The sequence below is a fragment of the Homo sapiens genome, chromosome 17 (assembly GCF_000001405.40).
Source record: "Homo sapiens chromosome 17, GRCh38.p14 Primary Assembly".
In the NCBI taxonomy this organism is placed as follows: Eukaryota; Metazoa; Chordata; class Mammalia; order Primates; family Hominidae; genus Homo; species Homo sapiens.
The window spans coordinates 61019509-61037149 of record NC_000017.11 but is presented as its reverse complement, the minus strand read 5'-3'; the positions used below and the strand labels follow the sequence as shown (position 1 = coordinate 61037149).

General features: G+C 34.7%; 1 protein-coding gene and 1 long non-coding RNA gene across 11 annotated transcripts in view; one reads left to right on the top strand and one right to left on the bottom strand.

Moving 5' to 3' along the window:
* Nucleotides 1-2637, top strand: part of BCAS3-AS1 (BCAS3 antisense RNA 1) — a 101500-nt gene extending 98863 nt beyond the window's left edge. For all 3 annotated transcript variants that reach the window (NR_186506.1, NR_186505.1, NR_186507.1), the window contains 2 exons: nt 766-937; nt 2376-2637. This is a non-coding gene — a long non-coding RNA (BCAS3 antisense RNA 1). The remainder of the gene's footprint in view (nt 1-765; nt 938-2375) is intronic.
* BCAS3 (BCAS3 microtubule associated cell migration factor) overlaps nt 1-17641 on the bottom strand; it is a 714981-nt gene that overhangs the window by 355682 nt on the left and 341658 nt on the right. For 4 of the 8 annotated variants that reach the window (NM_001353144.2, NM_001330413.2, NM_001353146.2 and 1 more), the window contains 2 exons: nt 10240-10284; nt 2360-2484 (listed from right to left, as the gene is read on the bottom strand). In NM_001353144.2, coding sequence (NP_001340073.1) covers nt 2360-2484; nt 10240-10284 — 170 coding nt within the window. The remainder of the gene's footprint in view (nt 1-2359; nt 2485-10239; nt 10285-17641) is intronic. The other 4 variants (NM_001353145.2, NM_001320470.3, NM_001330414.2 and 1 more) reach the window with 1 other exon arrangement.

Below are 17641 nucleotides of genomic sequence, written 5' to 3'. Positions count from 1 at the left end.
TCTCATCTATTTTTTTTCTCAGAAGACTTAAATTTAGAACTTAAATTTGTGGATCAAAACAAACAAAAAACATTTGATGTGTCAATGTAGGTTCATCAATCCAAACACACGTACCACTCTGGTTGGGGATACTGATAATAAGAGGCTTTGCATGTGTGGAGACAGAAGGTATATATGGAAAAATCTCTGGACCTTCTGCTCATTTGGCTGTGAACCTAAAGCTCCTTTAGAAAATAAAGTCTATTCAACACACATACACAGGCATGCATGTGCATCCCCTTCCCCCAAATCCTCTTCTTTCTCTCCATGGGATCACTGGCGCCATGGTAAATGAAGATCAGCCATACTTTGAGAAGTTAGGTGCTGAATATGGATCTAATCAACTGACTTTATAAGGAATACACATGTACCCACTAGCAAAACAGGTTTAGTCCTCTCTCTCCGGTTTTACAGTAAACCTAGGAGCATATAAAATCACTCATGAATGCTGGGTAGGTCATCTTATCTCTGTGTCAGGCGAATCAATTACAGCTGATTTGAGAAAATAGCTAATGATCAGCCAGAGGGACATAAAGGAGTAGAAAGTTAAAAAGGTAATTAGAACAGAAGGGAGAAGCATTTGAAATCGAGCTTCTCAGAGGGTTTTAACTAGTAACAAAAAGTCCTTTCGATAGCATCATTAAACCTAAGGAGGTAACAAAAAAAATAAAGATGGGATAAGGAAATGGAAGGCTTGCATACTTAACAGTATCCTCTCCCACTTAGGTAAGGAACCTGCTGCGCGTGAGATCCCATTACCAAGTAAAGGGTCACTGAAAGGCGATAACAAGAGAAAGGGCTCATGTCTGACTGCCAGTGTTAGCATAAAGGAGAGCCATTTTGCCAAGAACAATACAGCCTGTGGAACTCACCAGAGAAGTGCCCCAGTAACAACCCGGTTTGTGACCTACTTTAATAATACTAAAATATTAAGGGGAAAATCATAACATTCAAAATTATATACTTGGTTTATGAACGTAGGCATTCTCTTCTAAACAGAAGCAATAAGGATTCACATGCTATAAAGCACTAATCCTATAAACATTTTAGGTATTGACCCTGGTGATCAAAGCAGGGATTAGAAAGATAATAACTACAGTAGTCCCTCCTTAGGTGCGAGTTCAGTTACCCATGGTCAACTGCAGTCCAAAAATATTAAACGGAAAATTCCAGAAATAAACAATTCATAAGCTTCAAATGGCAGACTGAATAGCGTGGTAAAATCTCTCGTTGTCCCATCTGTCCTGCCTGGGACATGAATCATCCTTTGTCCAGCATATCCACGCTGTATACGCTACCAACCCATTAGTCCCATAGTACCTATCTCAGTTATTAGACTGAAATGCATTGTACCATATAGGGCTCCGTACCATCCGAGGTTTCGGCCATCCACTGGAGGTCTTGGATGTATCCTCCACAGATAAGGAGAGACTACTGTATATTAATTCAAAGGAGCAATGGTAACCACAAAAGCTGAGCCTTATTTCTCACTGGCAGGCTGTTTCCTCTTTTTTTTTTTTTTTTTTTTGAGATGGAGTCTTGCTCTGTCACCCAGGCTGGAGTGCAGTGACGTGATCTCGGCTCACTGCAACCTCTGCCTCCCGAGTTCAAGCGATTCTCCTGCCTCAGCCTCCCAAGTAGCTGGGATTACAAGCGTGCACCACCACGCCCAGCTAATTTTTGTATTTTTAGTAGAGATGGGGTTTCACCATGTTGGCCAGGATGGTCTCGATCTCCCGACCTCGTGATCGCCCACCTCTGCCTCCTAAAGTGCTGGGATTACAGGCGTGAGCCACTGCGACTGGCCTTAATTGTGTTTTAAAACATGGCAGAGTTGATTTTTTTAATGTGAAGATTTTTAGCATTAGAAAATCTGGTTTCAAACTCTGATTCCATTGCCTAACTAACCAGTACTTTTAGCTAAGATATTTAAACTTGCTGGTCTCAAGTTCTTCATCTCTAAAACAGGGACAATGACGCTTTTCCTCTCTGTACTTCACAGACCAGGGGTGAAACTAGCTTGTAAAAATGTAAAAGGTATAAAATGGGTATAGAATTGACAGCATTGAGATCACCTGTAGATTGTCACCAACAAAACAAAACAAAATCACTCAGTGGGCAATTCATTAACGTTCATACTGAGAGGATAGTTTTTCTTCTTGACTAGGCTTGAGTAGTTGAGAAGTGACATGCTAATTACATTAAAAAAATTGGTTTCCAGACTACTGGGTACAAGATTATTCTAGGGAAACTGCTAAAAATTTTCCTTAAGAAGCAAAAATTACAAATAGAGCATTCATTTTTCAGTAAAAATACATACCTTTTTCTCTTTTCAGACCTGCATTATTTGCAAACCATGACCTGGATGTTCCGAAGATAGCAGCCACACAAAATTCTCCGCCCATCGATTTGCTGGGTGAAATTTGTGGAGGAGGTTTAACTTTGCTTAAAAAATAAAATAAGAGTAAAAAACAATTATCATGATGAAATGATACTCCTTTAGGTAATGACAGTTTTTCCTTTAAATTCCACCCCTATTCAAATCCTCCAGTATGAACATGCATTTTGCCTTAAGTAATAAATGGTGATGTGAGACTATGTTCTGGAGTAAAAGTAGAATTATTTCAAAGTTCCAGAGTTTTGTAAAGAGAGCAACATTTATAAGACCAATAAAAATCAACTCCTTTTTGAAGTATGTGCTGGCAAAATCCAAGTCACCTCTTTTCAGATGAGTAACATTTCCCTAGAAATTTCAAAGTGAAGCAATAGTACCAGCATGAACATCTCACAATAATAAAATGGTTTATCACTTCATTTCTATATATATTAGGTTGATGCAAAAGTAATTGTGGTTTTTGCCACTGCCTTTGCACCAATCTATAAGATGTGGGATTAACAGTATAAATGAATTTAGACAGCATGGATGAAAATGAGGTGATATAGAATGAAGCCTTGAAAATGCTCTCTCGGCCACAATGCTATGGAGAGTTAGACAGTGCAAGGGAAGAATAGCTAATCATCTAATGCAATTATATTCACTGATCTTCCTGTTGTCTCTTTTTCTTCTCGGATTTGTGAAAATGATGTGTCTATTTTTGTTCAGAGAAAAAGACCAAGGTGGAATTACATATCAATAGCCTCTCAAACCTAAATCTTTTCTGTTGCTCATATGTCTGAGGACACATTTAGTAACTGCCATTACTTCCTGTCACTGCCATTCAAAAGAAGTAGATCTCCTCTGTTTTCCACAAATAAGTTTTCATGCTCAGCTTCTAATATCGACCTCACACCTTTTCAATCCCGTATTTCTGTTCTCTTTTGGTTTATCAAGGGCTTCCCAAAGCAATTTTGCCAATCACCTTTGATAAATTATTTTCTCTAATTCATAAACCAGTAGCCTCATCGTGCACTGGTAAAGATCACAGCCAAGGTAGGAAACAATAAAAACTAGAGCTCTGATGTTCCTCTCTGCTAGTTAGCCTCCAATGTCAAACATTAGTTCTACCTTATTTTGCTCAATTTTTGTTTTCATCCTTTACTAAAGTATGGTGGGATGGAAAGAGATAGTTTTGGAGTCAGGAAGAAACATGTAGTTGAATCCCAGTGCTGGCACCTCTGAGCTGTGTGACTTTTGGTTAAGTTATGTAACCTCTCAGAGCTCAGACTACTAATATGTAAAATAGAAATAGTAATGCCTACTTCATAGGATTATTTTAATGATTATATTATCTCAAAGCACTGTCCCCAGCTCATAGTACCACCTGAGGACTTCTTAGGAGTGCAAGCAAATACTCATAGGCCCCATCCCAGACCTACTAAATCAGAAATTCTGGGAATGGAGCCCAACAATCCGTGTTTTGAAACAAACCCTCCAGATGATTCTGATGCATGCTCAACTCTGAGAACCACTATATTAGACAAAGCAGGTAAAGTTCCCAGGGCAGTACTTTCCCATATCACAGTACTCAGCAAATACTAACTTTTCTATATGGCCCTCAGCCCCAACCTAATCTTCAAAAAATTCAGACTTTGCTTTGGTAATCTCAGTTTCCCAGTTCCTATGACATTTTAAATAGTCTCTCAGACATCTTATTTCCTGAGGCTTGTTTAAACATCTTCCTCTAAGGATGGCTAAGTCTGGATCAGAGGCAACTATGATTGGTCCCTTTGGTCTCCCCACTTTGAACAAAATCCATGGTAATGCATATTACTATATATGAAAGAAACCTCTTCTGCCATTTACATTTCTTAAAACACTTCTCATTATTCCTGCAACAAAAAACATCCATGCCTAAAATGTCAACCAGTCACAGTGAGACTTCCAGTGACAGGGAATAAAGACATCGTTTTTAAATAAAAAGTTTCTGTGGGAAGCTGAATCTGGCTCTATAAACTGTTTCACCTCTTCATACTTGCATCTGTCACAACTGTAGTAACATACCTCCAGAAAGGAAGACTCTTCTCTGCCCTATACCTGAACAAATATGCACCTTCCCATGATATCTGGGTCACTGGCATCAGAATTGTTCTTTCTGGTTATGATGCTCTCTGTTGCATTACCTGAGAATATAAGGCTTCTTTCAAAGCTTTTATTTCCATCACTAAACTGCTATCATTGAACTGACAAATTCCTCTAGCTGGTATCTTTGAGGTACCACTGGTCATTTTTAATCCTTAGGAGTTTTGGGAAGATGGTGGCTGGGGGAACGGGAAAGAGAAAAGTATTGTAGAATTTTTTGAAAGCAGTTTGCAATTGTGCGACTATGTGCTTTTACTAGAATCACCATCAGAGAACAAAGCTACTACAATGTACCAACAAGCTTCATTGGGACAAACTCAAAGCTCTTTGCAAATTACTGGATGTCATTGTTGTTGTTTTTAAATCATGTGGTAAGTAACAAGTGAGCATGCCTCTTCTTAAGAGAAAATATGGTCCCTCTGAAGTATGCATCCTAAACAGACTTAAAAATAGTTGCTTCCAGGCCAGATGGCAAACTTTCTAACATGATAATAAAAAGTAGAAAAATGAGAGGACGTCAATTTAGTTTTTTGACATACAAAAAATATTTTTTGTATGTTTACTAGTTTAGAGTCTAATCAGCTCATGTCAAAAGCTAAAATCTCTTATACATCTATAAGTTACATACAATTCTGTTTTGGAACACACAAGTAAAAAGCATCAACACGGTGTTATTTTTACATAAGCTCAGTATCTCCTACAGAAAATAAGTATTTTATGGTAAAACTATGCTTAATTTCAGTAAAGAATTACCATTTTTATTTTTATATTTCATCATTTCTTTTTTCCTCTGATAGGGCCTTAAATTTCATTAGTAAAAGTCTGTGTTTATTAAGGAGTCAAAAGAGTTTTCACCCTGAAAATAACTTGCTATCTGCTACATAACATAGTGTTGTGTGTTGGGTATGAAGCATATTGGGTAAACACATTCATATCAAGTTATTTCTATCATCAATCTATAATCTGGAATGATTGTGGTATTTCAGCAAAATAAAAACATAAAAATATGTGTGTGTCTTTAAGATTTGCAGAGGAATAAAAAGGAGAAATAATCTAATAAAAAGAACGTTATGAATAAAATATCTTCTATGGGATACACTCAAAGTTAGAAATTTTAACTTGGGTTCAATCTGCCCTTCATCCTAAGTTTTTAAAAGTCCAAGAAAGCTTGGCAGAAGTAGAAGGGCTTTTCTAGCAATATGCCAGTGACATACAATGTATGAACTTTTCCACAATGACCTAGAATATTTCTATCACAAAATAACCTTTTGTTGACAGAAAGATAAAACATTGAAAAATGATACATACGTGAATGTATTAGAAAAGTGCTAGCTTTGTATATTATGTAAATTTACAGATTGCTGACCCAACCCTCATAGGAAAGCACTCCAATGCTAACCTTTTTTTTCTCTCTTGTTCTCAACATCTCCCTTTCTCCTCCAAAAGGGGTCTTTAAAAAATCTCATTAAAGAACATTTGCAAGTTTAGAAAGAATTTCTCTGGGTGTTTGGATGCCTTCCCTCATTTATTTAATCATTTATTAAGTTAATAATACAATGATAGAAAAATATTTAAATTTGTATTGATGCCCAAAAGTTTAACTGTATTGATTATGTGGACTCATCCATTTTTTTTTAAAATGGTTATACATGAGAACAAGACATACTCTCGATGGACTCCTTTCTACTGACAATTCCTGTTCCTTTACTACCCTTAGTTTTTCACACATAACCCCATGTTCAATAATTTTTTAAAAATTTGACTTAACTTTTGAGCAAAAAATAAAAGAAAAAATGGAATAAATTCAACTTTCAGCATCATAAAAATGACAATCATAAAACATCATATTTACTAAGCCTGATACGAATCAATGTAATCAAAAGAAAAACAAACACGCAAGCAAACAAAAAAACCGAATAACCAAATTAACAAATAAGATGCTAAATTAAAAATCAGGAGTTTAACTCTTTGTCATTTCTTCTGAGGAAACGCTTAACTGTCTAACCATAGAACGAGAATCATTTTCACTGCAATCAGAGGAAGTTATAGGGATATTAACATTACTAGGACTTCAAAAATATTTGCAAAGGCTACTAAAGTTCCCCATTTTTCTTCCCTTGGCCTTTATTATGTAATCCAGCCAGGTCAATATATTGAATTTCTCTGGCCTATTTTTTTCTCCACACCCAACTGCAAAGAGAGAAAAAAAAGAGTACAAAATTCTAATGATATCTGCTTAAAAATTACAGGACAATGATCTCCATCTGAATAGGACAGATGTGAAGTATCTGTGGACAGCATGATAAGCAGCAATGTGCTCCAGTGCCTTCTGTGGAAGGACACAAGCATGGAAGGCGCTAACATGAGACAGAAGCACCGTTTCTTTTCATTTTTAAAACATAAAAGAATAGTCAATATTTGAGTTTAAATGTAAGACCCAATATTGATCTAAGTATTACAAGTGGTATAACAGCTTTCTATAAAAGAAAAAATATTCTTTATATTCTTTTAGAAGTTTTTTCTCATTCTCAATCTTAGTTTCTAACATAAGACCTAAATGGGAGAACTGGAAGCATTTTATTTCAAATAACTAAAGATATTAATAATCTGTCTGAAATTATTCTATTCTGTCATAAATTTTTCTTAAAGGTCTAACAGATTTGTGTAAATGTGGCAGGTAAGAATAAATTCTCCTCTCCATATAAATCGTATCTTTCAAAAAATGAAATCATAAAATTTTAAAATATTTAAGAGAACAAGATTAGTTTACATGAACTGTTTATAGCTTGATCAAAACTCTTAGAAAACACTAATTAAAACTTTCTAATTTAATATGCAAATTTTAATTCTTTAAAATTTACCCTTATATAATATGAAAACATTTTATGAGGAAGAAATATACTTATATGGACTACCCATTGTCTACCTGTCATGTATGTTTTTTGATAAGCAATTCAAAAATAACAGTAGCTTAAATACAACACTACATGCAAATTCAGAGCTTGATACATTCCTATTTATTTGTAATATTGAAAGCAAAATTCAGATTCAAAAATTCACACTGGGATTATTTATCTTAAATTCCTATGTTTAAAAAAGTATGTTATATGTGTAATTCTTTTGTATTATTTTATATAGTCATCCAAACTCAAATATCCTAAACTAACCTAGATGACACATAATACCAGGGAAGTCCAAAGTGACTAAAATGTTGAAGATGCATAGTTTACTTTCCAACAAGCTTATTTTGTTACCAAAGGGAACGACTGTATTTTATAACGACTCATCTGAAAGTATATGAATGTAAAGGACTAAACCTGTTTAATGGAGAATAAAGAACTAGCAGAAATTGTGATATACCAAAAGCAAATTCTTAGCTAAGTGTTAACGTTGCAACTCGAAACTAATAAAAAGTTTGTAGAAAATTTACATTTCATTTAAAAATTTCATTTTTCATCCAAAATACATATATTACCCTATAACTGGATATACTAAAAACATATTTATTTAGCATATAATGTTTTATTTCAGAACAGTACATAAAAACATTCTCAGGTTGAATGCTAAATAACATGGAAAAATAGCAAAAACTATTAAAACAAAGGAGCTCTTATAAACAAAATGGAAGAAGTTGTCAAATTTATATTCATTTGCTGCCTTAATTTGAGGTTTCATTAAGATCTTAATGGAAAAAACATGCACCACTGGGAAAGTAACATTTTAAAGGAGAACCTTTTAGTCTAGTATAAGTGACTAAAAACGAGTTTCTTGTGAGCTAACGATGGCATCAAACAAACCACAAAGCAGTCTTCTAAAAGACAGGCAATGATTTAAAAGTCTACTATATTTAATATATCCCTTTCTTTAATCTGGCTCTTTTAATCTTGTTTCAACCTCAAATCATTTCTGGTTGACAAGTGCTTTTGCTTAAATGTGAGGAGCACGTAAGCTGTTGAAGGAATGAACTTTACTTACTTAACATACAACAGTTGTTATTCCATCTTTTACTTCTATGCAAAACTTCAATCTTTATTAACATACTACAACTCTTTGCTTTGTACTTAGAAGAAGAATTTATCCTAAAATGGAATTTAATTCTAAGTTTACAAAGAAATTTTGTCATATGTTGAATGTGGCATTTAAAATTCACTGATCACTGGAAGGCTCATAAGTAAGATCTGTGTATCTTATTTGTTTTTAGAAGACATCTGGTTAACAAAATGAATAAAGATCAACTTTCATGAGATTTATATTCTTGTATATCCTGAATTTGTTTAGAATAGTTTTGCAAACTGTGTCTAATTATAATTTTCAAGGAGGAAAATTTTATGTTGATTTGTTTTATGTCACCTATTATTAAGCAATAACAAAATTTTCAGATCTTCCTATGGCATATAAACATTGAAATAAGTTTGTGTCAAATAATAATTAACCTTAAAGAACTATTTAAGCTTCTTTCTGTCCAAGAGGAAAAAACGTTGGAATGTTTTTTTCTAGTGTAATAGAACAGTATGAACAATCCCCATTTAGCAGTTATGAGAACTACACATATGTGCAGAACTCTTTTCAGTATTCTGACTAAATTAATAAAATTAATATAGCTTACATTTCTCAAAACTTCGCACTGGTTAACATATCCTTAAAAGTGAAAAACATAATCTAATTTAAATAAGCTTCTTTTGAAACACGGTATTTTTCCCTGAAACAGGAAAAGAAACAGTGGTAGCAGCTAACATTTACTGCACATTTACTATGTGCCAGGCACTGTTATATACTAACACATACTGAGATATGTATCAGCTTATTTAATACTCATAGTGAGTCCATTACATAGGTACATTTAATACATAAGGAAATAAGAAATAGAAAGGTTTTAGAAAACTCCCCCCAAATCATATAGCTAGTAAGTGTGTCAATTGGGATCTAAGACCCAGGCAGTCTGACTCTTAACCATTAAACATTTTATACCATTCTTAACACATTCTACTTCCTATCTTTACATGAAAGTATTAAATATATTCGAATTCTTTTCTATGACCTTCCTGTCTAAGACTGACAAAGCTGTATTCTGTGCACTGACATGAAAGAATTTACCAAATAATTAAGCTATGATGAGTATGTGCTAATAATTCAAAATAATAAATTATTTAGGAGGTTTTATGTAAAATATATATTTTGTCATTATGTAGCTCCTTAAATACCTAAACTATTCAAAAACAGAACTTTTGTCTCTTTAGGACCAAATAAAATGCAACAAAAACTTTATAAGGTGCTTTTGGTATACCTTAAATATATTTATATTTCAAAATAAATCATGTCCTCAAATGCTATGCATGATATGTAGGTAACTTCTAATGCCATAATACTCAAAGCTTTAAACTTGGGTGTTAGCCTTGTCTTGTAATATTTACGAGCATTATGAGAGAATTCTTCTATTTAAAAAAAATTCATCTGTGGTTTTTTTTTTTTTGTTTTTTACTTTTTAAAGAATGAAGTGAAACCAAGAAAACCACTTTTCTAAAGCTTAAATATCAACATTCATGTTCCATCTACAAATTATTCAGTAACTTGGTGCATCTATCTGTGATCAGGCCATGCAACTGGAAACAAAACTACAAAACAAATTACTTTTTGAGAGTACAGCAAATGAATGAGGCATGCGGGACTGAACTGGAACTCACCATGGGGCTTTTATGGAAAAACACCCCGCTCCAAAGAGATAAGGCCTTCATGGAAAAGGGGGAAAAATGCACAAAAAATTAGAGAAAAACTCATTTAACATTAGCAAATACAAGTATATCATACTGTTATAGAGTATGGATAAAAATAACTAAAAAATTAGTAATCATTTACAATTCTGCTGTACATACTGTCTGATATAACCAATAAACAGAATGATGTGTAGTAACAAGGCCCTTAATTTTCAGAGTTAGAGATTCAAAATTTTCTATTTCTCCCCCTTTTCTGGAGCACCCCTGTAGTATTTCTAAGTTAAAATAAAATAAAATTCACTGCTGAAGCCCTTTAAAACAAGGTATAAGTTAAATGGAATAACCAGATGGAGAAGAGTGAGATCAATAGCAACAAATGTGTAGCTATGTGACACAAAATGGTTAAAATTAGCTAACGATGACTGGATAAAAAATTTGATATGAATTGTCTGCTTTTCACTGGTTCCAGTCTCAGAACCACAGAAAGAGGCACATATTTTTCAAGCTGCTTATTTGTCGTAAGTTGAATTGTATATTGTTGGTCAAAGGAAAAAACACTAAGTACAACTAGTATAATTTTTCTCTATTTTTGGCCATAATCCAGGAAATTAGGATATCTCTTAATAGTGGTCTAAGAGGTTAGCTTCCTTTACCTGGTCTGCACTAGATTAGGTTAGTACGCAGCAAACTAAAGCTACAATCACTTGTTTTAAATACAACTGGGAAACTGGGACTTCAATGTTATACATATTTCTTCTCAAAATTCTGTTCCTAGCATTTAAGATATGCCATGCACATCTGCACATAAAGAAAACTGAGTGATTTAATGATATCCAAACCAAATGGTACTGTAACATCTGACATTTGGAAATCATAACAAATGGAGGAGAAAAGCACATTGGTAAAATGTGGGTATTTCCTTCTTCAAAATTGGTTCTAGAATTAAAAAATAAAAATCCTGCTGATTAGCCTTAATTTTTTTCCCAGTAAACTGAGTATATTTGACCACAAAGCAAAACTTGAGAAAAATGTTTTCACGATAGTGAGTACAATTTTGAGGCTTGAAGCGCATTATATACAAAGAAAGGAACAGAGACACGCAAGAGATAACTAGAAGAAAGTGAGGTAGAAGGAAAAATAGGATAGATAAAAAATAAAACAAAACTTTAGAGATGATGCCAATGCCAATGCCAAGCAAGGATAGCTCTCTCTCAGTTAGATAAGAACATACCCAGCGGTACGATGTCAGCATCCACATTTAAAATAGTAGATTTTAAACTTTTTTGACTGTGAACCCATAGAAATACATTTTAAGGTGTAAGCTGGTATGTGCACGAGTACACACAAACAAGACAGAAACAATAATTTAATGAATGTGTTATCTGTAATAAATGTTACTATTTTTATTTCAATGTTTTATAAACATTAATGTTGAGATTATGTTACAATGCAGATAAATGCATATTCTAACACTGTGGGTCTGGCTGGGATCTGAGATTCTGTATTTCCGATAAGCTCCTAGATAACAGCAATGCTGCTGGTCCACAGAACCAGTGGCAGAATTGCACTTTTATTCTACTTCATTAAAGAAAAAAAAATGTTGGCCATAATCTCCTTATATGATTTCATGACTAATTACCTCAAAACCAAAATGTTACTAGAGCTCAGCTTGCAGTTTGACAAACACAGATTTAAATAACTAAAACTACTTGAAGACTACAATCTCTCAACTGAATAGTGAGCCCGTTCTGAAATGATAGGAAAAGGAATGGTTCACGCCATTTCTATATGCCTACAAATACCTCTAAAATGAAGAGGTTTTCGTTGTCATATAGTATACAACTTCTCTTAATTTCACCTAATTAGGCAAGACACCTGAACTAACCAAATTGTCCAGAAGTGACTGTAATCTGGAATGTCCAGGCTTACGTCGTTATATTGTACCTACTCAGGGCAGTCTCCCATCTCATCCAGAACATCAGCATATTGATTTATTATAAAGAATTTAGAAGTTTAACTTAGTCCTTATTACTTAAAAGGTTTTTCCATTGGCTGCAAAAACCAAACAAGCAAAAATGAAACAAAAACTTCAAGTGTCTAAAAATTCAAAAGACCATCTGATATTCCCTACCTGTAGAGCCAGTAAATACCTTTCTTCCAGGTTTAGGTTTCCTTTTATGTAAAAAGGAAACATACGTTAGCCAAAGAAAAATATAGAAACTTAAAAAAAAAAACCTCGAGATTTTCCTTTCCAGGCAGTAACATGTTGCCAAAAGGAGATTTCTCCAACTACTTCCTTGTCCCATAATCCTAAAATGCACCGTAAAACTCAGACACTGTAGTTTACAGGCCTGTACTAAATAAATAACATCATTGTTAAGTTTGAATACAGTAAGGTTCACTATTCACAATTTGACCCACTTGTGTTAGTTTAAAGTTATCCTAATTCAATCAAACTAGGATTCACTGGCTAACAGAACTCAAGGAGAAAGGGAACTGGAGAGACAAGGTTAGAACCTGGTTTAGCATGTACAATTGGCATGTATAAAATCTATACTCATCTGCCTCTGGCCTAGTCCTACAAGCTAGACCTCTGCCATATACATGTAAAAGAAGATCCACAAACTCCAAAGAATTATAGTGACTGACGTAATTACTGTCTTTGTATGGATAGTGTCAGCTGTTCTTTTGAAATGTGCCTGCTTCATCTTTCCTCAGTAGCAAAGGAATGAAAATATAAAGTCACAAAGTACAAATCCATGATCCAGCTGTCTTCACCTATGACTTCACTCTCCCCTCCCAAAAGTTCACAGCTATAGTTTCGTATTAAAGTGAGATGAGAGTGGAAAGAAAAAGAGATGATGTGAGTGGGAGTGTATACTGAATGAAATATTCTCTGTATTAACAGAGGCAACCCAAATTACTATATTCAAACTCGAATAATTGGTGTTTTCCAATCACCATTAAATTTTAGCAGGCTTAACAAATATGCCATATAAAACCTACTCAATTTGTCATAATTATATCCTTTTTGACCTGAATTCTGATTTTCAAATCTCAGGAAAATCTGGTCAAGAGACTAAAAATCCAGAAATATTACAGACTTATATATAGGCCACCGTGAAATGACCTGGCCATTAGTTCTCAAAGGGTTTCTTCAGGAGACTCCCAGAAGATAGGAAAGAATTATGTTTTATAACATACCATAACACTATGTAAGTCATTCAACTGATTCATTTTGTTGAATGCCACATGGTGCCACAAAGTCTTCAATCTTACTAGCTGAAAACAAGGTAAACACGAAGAATTTTTTTAATATGAGAAAAAAGCAAAACTAGATTTGATTTGAAATCCTCCAATCCTCTATAATCTGACTCTAGTGCTAAAAGGTATTAGTAACAATTCTGTTCAATCATCTCCAGAGTTAAAGAAGTACGTGGCATCTAAGAGACAAATTTTATAAACATACTCTATAAACCTTATTTTTCAATTAATCATGTCCTAAGACAATTCAGGCACTGCCACAGAACAGACATCAGAATGAGCCCATATAAATATTAAATGTAATAAACAGAGATGAAGCAGAGAAAAAGCTATACAACATTATGTGTCAAATATTGAAGCAGAGCCATATTTCTCTAAAAATAAATTCTAGGGATGCTAATGACTTCTAAATTCTGTGTGCCCTCTGTTAAAACAACAACTGAAGTGAACTTGCATTTCCCACATGCATATCAGTAAATTATTCCTAATATCATTTTTAAGTTATACTTTGAATTTTTCATTAATTTTACTTGCTCCCTACCAAAGAGACCTATCGTATTACTGGTAGTAAACTATTGATCTGTAGGGGAAACTGAAGCTAAAACAGACAAGTGTCTAATTTGAGATACACATGATACCCAATTTTAAGTGATAAACTCAAGATTTAGAAGATTTTCATTAGCAGGCTGGGCATGGTGGCTCATGCCTATAATTCCAGCACTTTGGGAGGCTAAGGCAAGACTGAGCGTAGGAGTTCAAGACTAGCCTGGGCAATACAGCAAGACCTATCTCTTCACAACATTTTAAAAATCAGCCGGGTGCGGTGATATAGGCCTGTAGTACCAGCTACTCAGGAGGTTGAAGTGGGACGATCACTTGAGCCCAGGAGTTTGAAGATACAGTGAACTATGATCACACTACTGCACTTGAGCCTGGGTGACTTTTCATTAGGAAAAAAACATTGATAATGTTAAAATTCTGTTATATGTGGCAAAAAAAGAGATGAACATAACATAAATAATGTCAAACTTCTGTAGAAATTTATGCCTGCTGACTTTTAAAAATATGGTATAGGCTGGGCGCGGTGGCTCACGCCTGTAATTCCAGCACTTTGGGAGGTGGAGGCAGGTGGATCACGAGGTCAAGAGAATGAGACCATCCTGGCTAACACAGTGAAACCCCATCTCTACTAAAAATACAAAAAAATTAGCCAAGCGTGGTGGCGGGCGCCTCCAGCTACTCGGGAGGCTGAGGGAGGAGAATGGTGTGAACCCAGGAGGCGGAGCTTGCAGTGAGCCAAGATCACGCCACTGCTCTCCAGCCTGGGCTACAGAGCGAGACTCCATATCAAAAACAAAACAAAACAAACAAACAAACAAAAAATATATATATGGTATATAGTAGACATCATCCAAAAAAAATTCCCAGATTTACAGTATGGTGTGGTTTAAGTACTCCACTGATATAGCAGAAAAATTGGAACTCAAACTATGTTAAATATATTGCATATGTAGTCACATCCATACATATTCCAATGAAAATACATTGTCCATTATTTAATATCTAGAACCAAACATCCATTGCTTAGCTATGAAGAACTGGTACTTACATAAGGCAGAAACATGAGGTGGGGAATTACCCAAGCTATTATATCTGTATCTAGTGGGTCTTTCTCCAAATATTTCCAATTTAATTCTCCGAACTTTGCCTATAAAGTTTAAGGCTCAGGCCAAACTGTGTAACTGAGCCAAGGTGTACCTAATTGAATTAAAATAAGGAATAGACCTTCTGCAAGGCCTACTATATGCCAATATCATTTACTCACATAGCCAAGTCTGATGGTAGATTTGGTCTACAAATATCAACTGGATGTGTCTGAATAAATGCTATTTAATGCTTCCATTTAATATCATTTAAAAGCATCTATGCTTTCTAAGTGGGGCCTGAGCCCATCAGCACTGGCTTACGGCTGCTCAACAGTCCTGAGGCTTAGAAATGGGACCAAAGAACTGGTAGAAACTCATACATGATAAGGATTAAAAGATTATAATCCATATATATAAACTTTTTTTTTTCAGGTGAAGAAATTTACCTAGGACACACTGGCAAATAGGTGCAGAACCCAGATGAGAAGAAGCCAGGGCCTCAGACTCCCAATTCCATATTTTTTCCACTACATTACTTAACCTACTTCTACAGGGTGCATCTGAAGCTTCCTAATAACCACCTAAATCTTCACAAAGAAATGAATAAACATGGCCGGGTGCGGTTGCTCATGCCTATAATCCCAGCACTTTGGGAGGCTAAGGCAGTTGGATCACTTGAGACCAGGAGTTCAAGACCAGCTTGGGCAACATAGAGAAACCCAATCTCTACAAAAAATACAAAACTTAGACAGGCATGGTGGCACACACCCACTTGTAGTCCCAGCTACTCGGGAGGCTGAGGCAAGAGAATCACCTGAGCCCAAGAGCAGAGGTTGCAGTGGGTGGAGATCACACACCACTGCACTCCAGCCTGGGTGACAGAGCAAGACTCTGTCTCAAAAGAAAAGAGAAGAAATGAAATGAGTAAATATAAAGATGGGGAGGGGGAAAGAAATGAGGAGCTACTTCCATTTAAGGAAAAGGAAACCTACGAGAGAGCAAATCATCCCATGTTTACTTCACAAAAAGTGCTCCACCTAGTAAGAGCAAGGAAGTAACTTCATTTTCAATTTTAATATTTTTTATTCCCACGGAACTACCTACCATGACTTCTTTTTGAAATTTACTGTTCTCTGCTTGTGTCCATAAAATAATTTGGAAATATAAATAATTTTAGATTTAAGCAGATAAAATTAAGCTCATTGATGAACATTTTTTTGTGAATTGTTACATAGAAAATATTTTTTAAAACTTGATCACTCACTTGATAATGCCAAACATCTATGAAATGCTGCTAATAAATCCCTACTACAAACCTAACATCCAAGATATGGTGCAACCTCTTAGCACCTAATTCCACTTTTAATAGATTAGGAGAACTATTCTTACTTACATATGATAAGAACATGATAACCTGGACTTTTTAAACCTCCAGTCTTAAACTGAAAGAAAACAGAGTCTGTTTGAATGGGTGATTATTGGAGCCAAATAATGTCTAACACTTCTTTTACCTCCATCAATGTATACTGTCACAGAGTTAAGCAGCAGCTGTTGCCAAAACAGGCCTTATTACCTCCAAGTGCTGCTTCAAGGTACTGAACAAGAAGGTGTAAATACATCTGTCTTCTGCTATTTGTAGTTCTACTGGCCTCATGTATGTCTCGCAGTGAGACAGATGGTCCCTGACACTGCACAGGCTTTCAGGCATATGTATTTGCAAACATAAGAAGGCAGATGTTGAATATGGTAAACACACGTTTTGTCCCCTTAAGGTTTAAGTTGAGGCTTCTATCTCAATTTGGGTATTTAATTACTGGATCCTAGAAATCTTTAGAAATCTCTACTTTAGAAATATAACACTTTATGGTTATTTTATGACCATGTGCAAAATACCTCGGACATAGATGAAGTGGAAGCTTATCTAACCTAAGTACATAATTTTACCAACTACATTATCAGGTATATTGAAAACAGAATATAATTTACCTGTCTATAAGTGGGTCACTCTGTGTTCTCTTTCTACATAATCCATGTCAAATACTTCTTGTTGATTTTATTTTAAAAATACTAGGAAAGGAATTTTATAAAAGCAAAGCTTGAGTAAATGAGAATTTCCAGAATAAAAAGAGACATGGAAAATGAAAACTCTCATGTGCTCATCACCCTGGTGACGTTAATGGAGCCATCAGATTTCTCAGCAAATACAATACAATTTAATGCCAATAATTAATGGAAATTAGCTAACTCCAGTCTTAAGAATTTGTCATAGTAAAAAAAATTTAATAAAATAAATATAGCCTTTAAAATCTAATAGGATGAAAGCTAATGGGATGAAATATTGTCTGAGATTTGTTTCAAAACTCAGAATATAGCAAAAATGAAAATTCACAGAATATATTTGGTTCTCACGAATCAAATATTACTTTTGACAAGGCAAAATACATGTATTTTAGTGAAAATGT